Source organism: Homo sapiens, chromosome 2 (assembly GCF_000001405.40).
Source record: "Homo sapiens chromosome 2, GRCh38.p14 Primary Assembly".
Classification (NCBI taxonomy): Eukaryota; Metazoa; Chordata; class Mammalia; order Primates; family Hominidae; genus Homo; species Homo sapiens.
Window position 1 is genome coordinate 53,458,686 of NC_000002.12, and position 12,955 is coordinate 53,471,640.

Below are 12,955 nucleotides of genomic sequence, written 5' to 3' on the forward strand. Positions count from 1 at the left end.
TCTTTGGGTGGTGCTATGATCTGAATGTTTGTCCCCTCTGAAACTCATGTTGAAATTTAATCTCTGCTATGATTTGAATATGATTTGTTTGTCCCCACAAAAACTCATGTCAAAATTTGATCTCCAATCTAGCATGTTGGGTGGTATTTCAGTGATGTTGAGGAATCCCTCATGCGTGGCTTGGTGCCATTGTCACAATAGTGATTCTTGCCCTGGTGAGACTGAAATAATTATCTTGGGAATAAACTAGCTCTCTCAAGAGTGGATTGTTATAAAGCAATGGCATCCCTCAGGTTTTGTCTCTTCACACACGTCTGCTTCCCCTTTGGCTTTCCACCATGATGTGAGGCAGCACAAAAGCCCTCACCAGAAGCCAAGCAGGTGCCACCACCATGCTTTTTGTACTTCCCAGCCCACAGAACTGTGAACTAGATAAAACCCTTTTCTGTACAAATTACCCAGTCTCAGGTATTCTGTTATGGCAACACCAATCAGACTGAGACAATCCCCAATATAGCAGTGTTAAGAGATGGGGACTTTAAGAGGTGATTGGGCAGTCATTAAGGCAGAGTCATTCATGGATTAATGAGTATCACAAAAGTGAGCTAGTTATCACAAAAATGTGTCTGTTATAAAAGCCAGTTTGGTCCCCTCTCATGAGCTCTCTCACCACGTGATGCCCTCCACCATGTTTTGATGCAGTAAGAAGGCCCTCATCAGATGAGCTGCTTGACCGTGAACTTCCCAGCCACCAGAACTGTAAGAAATACATTTCTTTTATTTAAAAATTACTTAATCTCAGGCATTCAGTTATAGAAACAGAAAATAGACTAAGAAAGAGGGTGATTAGATCATGAGGGCACAGCAATCATGAGTAGAACTAGCGCCCTTATTAAAGAAGTTCCAGAAAGCTCCTATATTAGTCTGTTTTCACATTGCTATAAAGAGCTGCCTGAGACTGGGTAATCTACAAAGAAAATAGGTTTAATTGACTCACAGTTCTGCATAGCTAGGGAGGCCTCAGGAAACTTACAATCATGGCAGAAGGCACCTCTTCACAGGGCAGCAGGAGAGAGAAGAAGTGAGCAAGAGAGGAACTACCAAACACTTATAAAACCATCAGATCTCATGAGAACTCACTATCATGAGAACAGCTTGGGGAGGAAACTGTCCCCATGATCCAATTGCCCTCCACCAGTTCTCTCCCTCAACACCTGGGGATTATAATTCAAGATGAGATTTGAGTGGGGACACAAAGCCTAACCATATCAGCTCCCTTGCCCCTTCTACCATGTAACGTTACAATGAGAAGATGGCCATCTATAAGGAAGTGGGCCTTCTCACCAGTCACCGAATCTCCCAGTGCCTTGATCTTGAACTTCCCAGCCTTCAGAACTGTGAGAAATAAATTTCCATTGTGCATTAGCCACCTAGTCTGTGGTATTTTTGTTATTGCAACCCAAAAGCACTAAGACAATGACTGAGATATAAATGACTACTTGTGCTAATTGCCATTGACTTTTCCTTATAGTACTTTAAATCATCATCCCATCAGAACTTACAACAGTTTTATAATGAGGATGAGGCAGATATTACTGATTATTTTAATGATAGGGGAGACGAAAACTGAGGTATGGAGATTAAATGACAACCAATCGAATAACTACACCTGAGCTGAGACTAAAACTCTAGTTTCCTACCCCTAGCCAGCCAATGCTGTCTCATTCAGCTTTGCCGCCTCTCCCAGGAAAATAGTGTCTGGTACTCATGGAAATACTGATTCCTCTGTCCCCATCATCACTAGAGGACTCTGCACCCAGGAAATGCTGACTTCCAACCAGAGATCAGCATGCTGACTCCTGGCACCATGCCCAGGGTCTGGTAAATGTGGTAGATGGCACACACAAAATGTCAGGGTGTAGACATTACAACACCCAGGTTGAACAAATCACTGCCTTCTTTAAATAGACTTTCTGTAAATTATGAAAATGAAGGTAAATAGTCAGTTTTCTGACTGTTTTCTTTCTCAGCCTGGCTTTGTGAGTTCTTATCACACATTCTTATACATCTTCCTCCAAAACAGGATGAAAGCTGACCTTTCGGTATATTTATTTCTCATCTAGTAAAACTTCAGCTAAAGCCTCCTAATTGCTTTGAAATTGAGACTAGTACTGGGATTATGTGACTATGTTTAACAGAAATAGATCTTCTGCTGGGAGGTAAAGAAAATGACCATGCATGACTTCCATAGGTCATTTCACCACAGCTAAACGTGGCTTCGGGGTCAGCCAGCCAACCTCACTGAACACATATCTTGCTTCCTACTCTTCTGGAATGAATAGTGCTCATGGTTCTTCCCCAGTCCACAATCAATATGGACTCATCCAGCCAGATGTGATGCTCTGCGTCTTTCAGCTCACTGATCCAAACCCAGCATTCATGCACATCACATGCATCTGAGACACTCCAGGGAGAGTCGCTGCCTGTGTAAATCAACCCACAGATAATTCTTAGCGTTATGTCACATTTCCATTATGGTAAATGCATGATCTAAGCACACCTTCCACCAGCCAGCCACGGATCTCCCAAATGGTCTTCCTCAGCCTTTGCTCTGTACTCCTTCTCCTTAAGCCCCAATCCCTTCATCATTAACACTGATCTACCCTTTAGGATATAGCAGAGATGCTAAATTAATCTAGAAAGTAAGCTCCCCAAGGATGTGCTAGATCATCACTCCCCTGTGTTCCTAAAGCAACTGGGAAAGGAACTGCCATAGGCTAAATTTCTACTCCCTCCTCCCCCCAGAATTTATTTGTTGACATCCCCAGTGTGATGTTATTTTGAGGTAGGGTCTTTGGGAGGTAATTAGGTCATAAGGATAGAACCCTCATGAATAAAATTTGTGCCTTTTAAATGAGGCCCCAAAGAGATCCCTCACCCCTCCTACCATGTGAGATTATAGAGGGAAAAAGACCTTCTATGAATCAGGAAGCAAGCCCTTACCATACCCTGAATTTGCCAGTGCCCTGATCTTGGCCTTCTCAGCCTCCAGAACTGTGAGAAATAAATTTCTGTTGTTTATAAACTACCCATCTTATTATATTTTGTTATTGCAGCCTGAAAATAAGAATTAAATATTAATTTCCTACTGCAAATTGCAGTAGATTTTCAGTAAGCCCTGACTCCAAATCAAAGTCAAACTAGGCTAACTACATGAACACTGTATTTTACCTCTTTTCTTGTCTGTATCCTTCCATCTGGTATATTCTAAGCTTCTTAATCCTAAGCACAAGGACTGTGTCTTATTTTTAGTACTATCTCCAGCCCCTAGCTCAAGCACCAACACTTAAGGAGCACTCAATACCAGTTGAATGAATTTTGTTAGATTGCAGAGGGTCTGGAATCTGTATTGTCTTTGTGCAATTGCAGCTGAAGGTCATACACTATACAACCAAAATGCACCAGTAGATAATGGAGATTTTGCCTAGATCAATTATCCTGGCCAAAGGTCCAACTTACAGTAATACTTTCATTCTAATTAAAAGGCTAATAGCTGCTGCAATCAAACTTACAAATATTCTACCCAGGTATGTGTTGACAACTTTTCAGTACACATTTTGCAATGTATGATTTTTTTTTTTTTTTGAATGCAGGAAATAGCTGAAAACAGAGTACTTTTTATACTGCAGAGCTGGATTTTCACTCACCTAGACTGGCTGTCCACAGTCATGCTACTAGGCAATTCTAATTGTTGTTCTCATGTGGAACCAATGAGGATAGAGGCATCATGATAGTGAGTGCCAGGCCAAGTCACAAAGCAGCTTGGTAGTCTGCACACGAAAATGAGAATTCCTATTGGTGTAAAATGTTGCTGCACTGAAAGGCACTCCATTTCTGAGATGTTCTTTATAGACATCATTGCCGGGACACTACCTTTGTCCTTGAAAAAGTGTTTTTTTTCCAGGAGCACCACTTCATGCTGAGCTACATGAAAAAGCTGAGGTATCAGCTTCAAATATACCTTATAAATAAGCATATGTTATAAATGACTATTACAATGTAAGCCACCGATTCAACATTAATAATAATGCATAAATGAGACCCAGAGGCAGACACACAAGCTAGACTGTCCCTTATAAAAGGCAGGCACACATTTATATTTTTCATTATTCATTTTTTAAAGTAAGATTCCAAATCTTCTTTAGCATACAGTTTATAGTAAATCAAATGAGAAAAGAGAAAAGAATTACTGTACACATTGTCAAAATCCTTTATAAGATGCAGGAGAAGGCTTCTGTCTGCTTGTTTTTATTATTGTTATTCCTAGTCTACTTTAATAAGAAAGGTTTCATTCTGATCTAATTCAAAAGCTACATTGCACCTTCTCTTTCCACATCCTCACCCATCTGTTTGATGACTAGGAGTTAGAAAACATGCTAGGAAAAAGCTCTTTAAATAATCAGAGTGTTACTTGTTATTTCAAGTAGTCAACAGGTTCTTTAAATGAAACTGGACATTTTTAATTCTCTTGACACTTTCAGAAAACTATCATTCAGGGCAAAATGCCACCAGTTTTATTATCAACACTACATATTTCTGTGATGCTATGGGAAAACCAAACGCTAGAAATGAATATTTCTGGAAATATTTCACAAGCATATCTTACATACATTATAGACAAAACTCCTTCTGGGTCATGCTTCTTGTGATAAATTAGTGGTGTCTTGTGCAAAAGCATGTGCATTGAAGACAGACTGGTAGAATAATCTGCATGGAACTTTTAATCAAATCTTACACAAAACCAGGGCTCCAAAGGTGGTCTTATTTCCTCCACATAAGAGAGGCAGCTCTGTTTCAATTAGTACCTCAACCTCAGAAAACACTAGCAGAAAACTGCATAATCAAAAAAAGAAATTTTAAGGCCTTTCCCAATTCAAAAAAAAAAAAAAAGAAGAAGAAGAAGAAGAAATGGGTAATTAAGGATTAAAAATACCCTGAAATCTTAATGTGGCAGTATAAACATGCCTTATGATACCATGGCAACATTCTCTCTTTTTTAATGAAATTGATTAATTAGTCTGTGAGCTTGCAAAATGTCAGAGCAAAAGGATTCAGAATGCTTCTCTTCACAGCTAAGGTCTTTCTTGTCTCTTTCTTCCAGAGCTTGTCAATCAGAAACACTAGAGGTCAATCTATGGAAGAAATCTCAAACTGCAGCTTTGTTTTAAATGCATGAGAAATATGGAGGCTTCCATAGTTTGCATTCCAAATCAGCTCAGAAGATCCAGAGATGAGAATCTCTTGGATACATAAGGCTCAAACTAAACACAGCCCCATTTGACTGGAGGGAGAATGGAAGAAGAGAACTAGGGAAGTTGTTTTGCAAATCAAGCCAGCTGGAAACAAAGTTGTGTACGTGTATCTGCGTGTATGATATAGCTATGAAGGAAAGAGACCATTTCCACGATTCATACATGGAAATATCACATGATAGTCATATCTCATACATATATACAAAGTTAAGTAGATTTAAATATATTAGCATGTTTTTACATATGTTATAGATCTCTAGGAGTTACTAAGCAGAGGCACAAAATGAAATGTTAGCCTTTGCTATTTGTTCAGGACAAAGGAGGTCATATTCTATTTTGGAAGCAGAAGCAAAGACTATATTTACTGCAAGAATGAGCCTAGTCAGAGTGAATTGTGTAGCTAGATTGCTAGTCACCTTTGTCTTATGTTAGTACTACTGTCCTACTTGCATAAAAAGACCCCTCCACACACACCTCCCTACTGCATGGAGGCCAGAAATTTCTACCACTAGAGCAGGATTACTCAATGTCAGCACTATTAGCATTCTAGTACAGATAAATCTTTGTTGTTGGAGGCTGTTCTGTACATTTTAGGATGTTTAGCACCTTTGCTGGCCTCTACCCTCTAGATGCCAGTAGCATACCCCACTTGTGACAACCAAATTATCTGCAGACACTGCAATGTCCCAGGTTCTTAGAAGGAGGGGAAAATTACCCTCAGTAGCAAAACACTGCACTAGAATAATCAGTAAGAAAAGAAAAAAAGGAGAGCACTATGTCTTCTGAAAATAAATGAAGATCACCTAAATGAGGACACACAGAGGTTACTTATTCAGGGCTTGCGATAGCAAGGGAGTCAGCTACCATCACTTGTGATTGGCAGAGATTCAAAGGTAGGCAGCGGAGTAGAAAGGCTTTATATGATCTATCAATCAGAAATGCTCTGGTTGGAGGTTGTTGGCATGGCAAGGCTGGAGGCAGGACACCTTAAGTGACTGGTTTGGGATGCATGTTTGGCTTTCTCTGGTTGGCCCTGAGATGGGAGCAGGGACAAAATAAAAATAGAGAAGCTCAAAGTCATTGAATAAGTGGTTTTCACCTTTGTGTTCCCAGTACCCACTGCAGTTCCTGGAGGCATTTGTACTAGTTTCCTTTTGCAGCTGTAAAAAGTTACCACAAATTTAGTGGGTCAAAACAATACAACTTCATTATCTTACAGTTCTGTAAATTAGAACTCTAGTATGTGTCCTAGGGGGCTACAACCAAAGTGTCAGGACTGCACTCTTTTCTGGAGAGTCTAGGCATGAATCCATTTTCTTTCCTTTTCCAGCTTCTAGAAGCTGCTTGCATTCTTGGCCCATGGTCCCATTTTCCAGCTCCAAAGCTAGCGACTTTAAATTCAGTAGTCGGCATCTCTCTCTAATTCTCTTCTGCCTCCCTCTTCTAATTTTAGGAATCCTTGTGATTACATTGGGCCCACCCAGATAACCCAAGATAATCTCCCCAAAATCAGCTCTGTAGTAACCTTAACTTATTGATTTATTAATTAATAAATTAATTATAAATTGATTTCATCTGAAGCCTTAATTTCCCTTTGCCATCCAGCATAAAATATCTACTACAAGCTCCAGGGATTAGGACATGAACATCTTTGAGGGTAATTATTCTTCCTACTACCGCACTAAATAAGCAAAGTGTAGTCCCTGGACCAGCACCATTAGCATCACGCAGAAACTTGTTGGAAATGCAAATTCCACGGCCTCATCCTACATTTGCTAATCCATAATCTCTGTGGGTAGATCCCAGCAACCTGTGTTTTAACAAGTGCTCCAGGTCTCATGCTCAAGAAACATTGATCTATACTCCATATCCATTCTACCCACTCCAAAAGTATATGGTCTATATATGAAGCCTTTTGATATTGCCACAATTAAATTCTTAGAAATACACTCTTTACCGAGTAATTACAGAGTAATCTTTCCAAAATGTGATTTCTAATCTAATAGAGGATATCACTCCTTTACTAATAATCCTTAAATGCATGTGATGGTTAATTTTATATGTCACCTTGACTGAGTTAAGGGATGCCAGAGAGCTAGTAAAACATTATTTCTAGGTGTGTCTGTGAGGGTGTTTTCAGAAGAGATTAGCATTTGATGATGATTAGCATTTGATGATTAGCATTTTCTATGTAACTATATATATTCCATTGGTTCTGTTTCTCTGGTGAACCCCTAGGTAATCCACTGCAGAGATACCGATGACTTCATGGGCTTCCTATTATAGGATGGCATGGAGAGGAGAATAGGGAGGTAGCCCAGTGGGAAGCAGCTGTGGAATTTTAAGTCGGGCCTCTACCACAGAAATTTTCAGGTTTTGAGTGTGTAATGAGTGATTTTATGTGTCAGCTTGACTGAGCCCCAGGGTGCCTTGATATTTAGTTCTACATAATTTCTGGGTGTGTCTATGAGGGTGCTTTTGTATGCAATTGACTTCTGAATCAAAAGACTGAGTAAAGCAGACGGCCCTCCCCAATCCCTAGAAGGTCTGAAGAGATAAAAGGCTTAGTAAGAAAGAATTCCTTCTCTCTACCTGACTGTCTTCAAGCTGGGACATTGGTCTCCTGCCTCCAGACTTGAACAGGAAACTATACCATCAGGTCTCCTGGTTCTCAAGCCCTCAGACTCTGACTGGAACTACACCATCAGCTCTCCTGGGTCTCCAGCTTGCTGATTGTGGATCTTAGGACTTCTCAGCCTCCATATTTCATGAGCCAATTCCTTATAGTAGATAGATTATAGATAGGTAGGTAGGTAGGTAGGGAGAGAGAGAGAGGATAGATTCTATTAGTTCTGTTTCTCTGGAGAATCCAGACTATTAATTAACGCAGGATGGCAACCAATTAAAGGAGCACTTAGCAATTTATTGAGTGCAGCTACTATTGTTTTTCATAAAATAGAGTGTTTTCATAAAGTGTTAAAAATAAATAAAATAAAGTGCACAGCACATAGAAAGGGTTAAGTATTGTCTGGTGAATCTTCAGTTTCTGTGATTCATATCCATATAGGTGTACAGTTTGACATCAAGTACTTTTCTTCCTATAAATCAGTGTCAGGCCAGTCACGGTGGCTCACGCCTGTAATCCCAGCACTTTGGGAGGCAGAGGCATGTGGATCACCTGACGTGAGGAGTTCAAGACCAGCCTGGCCAACACGGTGAAACCCCATCTCTACTAAAAATACAAAAATTAGCTGGGTGTGGTGGCAGGCACCTGTAATCCCAGACACTCAGGCAGCTAAGCCAAGAGAATCTTTTGAACCCAGGACTCAGAGGTTGCAGTGAGGCAAGATTGTGCCATTGCACTCCAGCCTGGGCAACGAGAGTGAAACTCCATCTCAAAAAAAAAAAAAAGAAGAAGAAGAAAAGGAGAGAAGGAGAAGGGAGAAGGGACAAGGGGAAGAAGAAGAAGAAGAAAGAAGAAGAAGAAGAAAAAGAAGAAATCAGGCAGGGTCAATACAGCTTGAAAAACCTTGCTCAAGGAGATGTTGGACTGGTGCTGGACACTTCTCCTGGACCACCCTGTATCTCTTCCCCTGGAAGTGATTCCATCCTGAAACGATGGCCTATTTTGCACAGCACAATTAGTACTTGGCACATCCAACTATCACGTGATTCACTGTGATTTTTTTTGCATGTGTCTTAACTTCTCAGTCACACTCTAGGTTCTCTGTGAACCAGGACAGGCTTCATTCTGCTTCACAACTTCCTCCAAGCTTGGCCCACTGTCTGACACATAAAGTAGATTGTTAATGAATGTTGGTTAGTTGGCTGAATTTTACAAACCGTCAAGTTTATTAAGAGAATCAGGTGAAATGTTTAGATGGGAAAAAAACCAATGGCCTCTCAAAAACAGTCCAAATGCCAGATGTCCCCTTGAAAATGACAACCAACTAGCAGTCCAAACAAGTGCATTAAGCCATCACTAGCAAGAGACAATGCAGCTGCGACCCTGCATTAATAAAGAGAGCAGAAACCAAGACAACCTGTTTTCACTCTGCTTGGAAATCTATGCTCTTCCCCAGCCATCAAAATTGAGTGAGAAATTGCAGTGGATACAATCAGCTCTTATTTATTATCAACATTTCACAGCAGCAAGCATTAATAATACATCTTATACTTACAAAGCTTTTGTTTTCAGCTTTCCCTCATACTGAGCCAGCAAGATTTGAGAATGTCTATGGAATCCAGCCTTTGTTGGTAAAAGAAGAATTTCAAAGAGAGGGAAAAAAAATCAAAATATAAAGCTATCTAAATAGTCAACATGCAATTATTCAATTATGCTACTTTATGATATATCTGACATAAGTCATTATAATAAAGCCAGAAACAAATGCCACACATAAAACAAGAACCACCAAAATAAGTCCTCGGTATGAACAGAGCTTCCTGCCTCAATGCATAATTTATACTGTCTATAAAACCAACACCTGGGAACTGCTAATTTAATTAGTTTGTATCGAACACTTAATTATAGTAAGCCAAGGTTTAGGACTAGCTTGACAGCTGTTTTCATTACATCTAATTAATCTGTGGCATTTGGTTCTTTTTCTCTCGCTGTATTAGTCAGCTCAGGCTGCCATAACAAAATACCAGTTTGGGTGTCTTAAACAATAGAAATTTATTTTCTCACCATTATGGAGGCTGGGAAGTCTAAGATCAAGCTTCCAGCAAGGCTCACTTTTTGGTGAGGGTGCTCTTGCTGGCTTGTGGGTGGTTGCCTTCTCACTATGTTCTCACATGGCCCTTCCTTGGTGTGTGCACACAGAGAATGAGAGAGATTGAAAGAGACGGAGAGACGAGATGGAGGTCTCTGGTGTCTCCACCCTTATAACCTCAGTTAACATTAATTAACTTCCTTAGAGGTCCCATCTCCAAATACAGTCATCCTGGGTGTTAGGGCTTCAACACATGAATTTGGGGGTAACACAAATATTCAGTCCGTACACTCGTCTTGCACAGACTGTAAAGATTATTTGGTTTTGTTTGGTCTGAGGAATCAGTTCCACCAGACGATATCATGTCCATGTTATACTCCCTTAATTTTCCCTCATTCCAACCATTTATGTGCCAACAGTAGAAAGTGGTGCCTGCTCAAGGATACTTCATCTGTCTACCATGGACTCACCAACCCTACCCAGGAACAACCATGTTGGCCCAGCATCTCCCCCACAAAGTTTTCCCCGACAGCCCCAAGCTTCATAAAGGAATTCATTCATTTATTCACCTATCAGCACACATTTACTAAGTCACTTACACCGGGCACTGCACAAGACAATAGAGTTACAGTGTCAAAGAAGCCCCAGTCCTCGCCACCAAGGAGTTCCCAGCCCAGTGGAGAACACAGAAAGGAAACATTAAGAATTCAGGAGAAACTCAACCTTAACATTTGCAGGCCTCAGGCTGAGGGTAAAAATAGGGGCCTGCATATTATATATTAGAATGTCTAAATTATATAATTCAAGCTAGCAAGCAGTTACATAAAATATGTTCTTTCCTACAATCTTAATAAATATAACTTCAAAATTACCTGGAAGACAGATTCCAATTTAGAACTAGCAGAACAGAAAAAAAAAAAAAATGCATCCTGTGGCTTACTGCCCTTCTCTTCCTTCCCCCAGCTCCAGGCTGCCTGGCAAGGGGTCTGGCACACACATGTGGACACCTTCACATGTCCAAGCTCTATCCACAGCCCCTGCAAATAGCTGTCCCTTGATGGATCAAATAAAAAGACCTACAAATGTTCTGGAAATAGACTCAGGGCAGAGGGTTTTGGAGCCTGGGTTTGAAGTGTGTTCAAGGATTGGGGCACCCATCAAGAGGGACATTACAAAAACAACAGAGCAGGGCCCTCTAAAGCAGTGCTTGGCAAATACCTGCATGAGCACCACCTAGAGACTGCGTTAGAACATGGATTCCTGAACTCCACCCCCAGAGATGAGGCTCCGGTGGGTCTGGGGTGCAGCCCAAGAATTTTTATTTCTAACAGTTCTCACAAGATGTCTATCAGTGGACCATACAATGAATAGCCTGATGCACAGGACCCAGGACACGGCTCTGTTAAGTCAAGTCTAATGGTGGCACTGATTTAGTGAGATATGTGCTACCAAAAAACTATGCAGAGTGCTAGCTGTAGCCACAGTAAGTGTATATACACTTACATATATACAAGTATACACTGAGAGCCAACTTTGTGCCAAGTACTATAGTGGCCGCCTCATTCATTCACCAAAGAATTATTGAACAAGAAACTATGAATGTGGAAGAACTATACACCAAAAAAGGCCCATCTTATTGTATGTACATTTAATTTTTTTAATGTAAAAATGCTTAAAATAAAAAGCAAAAAAAAATCAATCTGTTCTAGAGATTTCCACTTTTTTGCAGGGGGGTCCTGTTTATAGTATCATATATGATCAAACTGCGCTAGAATGTTCACACCTGTTACTGCAAATTCAAATCCCAGGAAAGACTTCTCCTGGGAATTTACTTTAGGTCAGGGTTGGGGTGCCTGGTACAAGGCTGCACCCACAGCTGGGCAGGTTCAGCCACACAGGAGCCTTTCCCCAGACCATGAGAGTTCCACTTCTAACAGCAGAGTATCTCGTATCAGAATGTTACTCCTGCTACCAATTATCAACTCTCGTCAAAATATTTTAAAAACTTGGAGGCACTAGAAAACAATCTACTGTGTGCCAGATGCAAGTCTAGGCATGAATACACTTCAGCGGGAAAAGAAAAAGTTCATGGCTTCTTTAATATATATGCCTGTAGCATACATCCACAATTCTCATCATATTAAAAATCAATCATAGACAGCCTCGCTTCAAAGAAGAGGAAACTGTTTCTGAGATGTTAAGAAATTTGTTGCGCAGAACCCAGCAGAGCAAATATTTGAACTCAGGCCACCCCCATGCCCTCCCTGCTCTACAGTGAATAATGGGGGAAACACAAGGGAGACACGGAGCTCTAGGTAGACCTTCTGAAAGAGGCAATGAGTTTTAACTAAGAAAAGTTAGCAAGGTACAAGGAACAAAGGAGAATCACAATTGAAATAAAGACCTTCCAGCAGAGAGGAGGGCTTGTGTGGAGGCTGGAGTATTATATAGGACGATGAACAGAAGGAATTAAGAGTGGATTCTTTTATCTGCAATGAAGGGTAGTCACAGCAAAGTGGGAAAGCAGGTAGGGGGCATATGCATTGGGAGAATAACTCATGGATATACGCACGAAGCACTAAGCAAATGGGTTTCAGGGAAAGACAAAGCAGGCTTGGGAGATTCATTTCTGAGATCCATTTTATGCATGTTCTTCTAGTCCTCTCACCTCCTGTAGTAATTAATGTCCACCAAGTTTGTTTTGTAGCTACTTACACACCTTCAAATGAAACCTGTTGATGTTTTGAACATTTATTTAGGTAGTCTGTTATTATTCCACCATCCACATGTCGTCTGCATCTTGGCACCTCAACAGCCTGCATCATTTGTGAGCAAGAACTGTGTGGGTGGATTTCAGAGAACAGCCCCTCATTATTTGTTGATTTGGTTCAAAAATGACTGAAGTGTCAATATACTTTGCAAGGAAGT

At 40.6% G+C, this 12,955-nt stretch overlaps 1 non-coding gene across 1 annotated transcript; it reads right to left on the minus strand.

Annotated features, from left to right (window-relative positions):
• Window positions 1-11,761: 11,761 nt before the first annotated feature.
• LOC124900528 (small Cajal body-specific RNA 16) lies at window positions 11,762-11,944 on the minus strand. The gene has a single exon (XR_007088721.1).
• Between the last annotated feature and the right edge of the window lie 1,011 nt (window positions 11,945-12,955).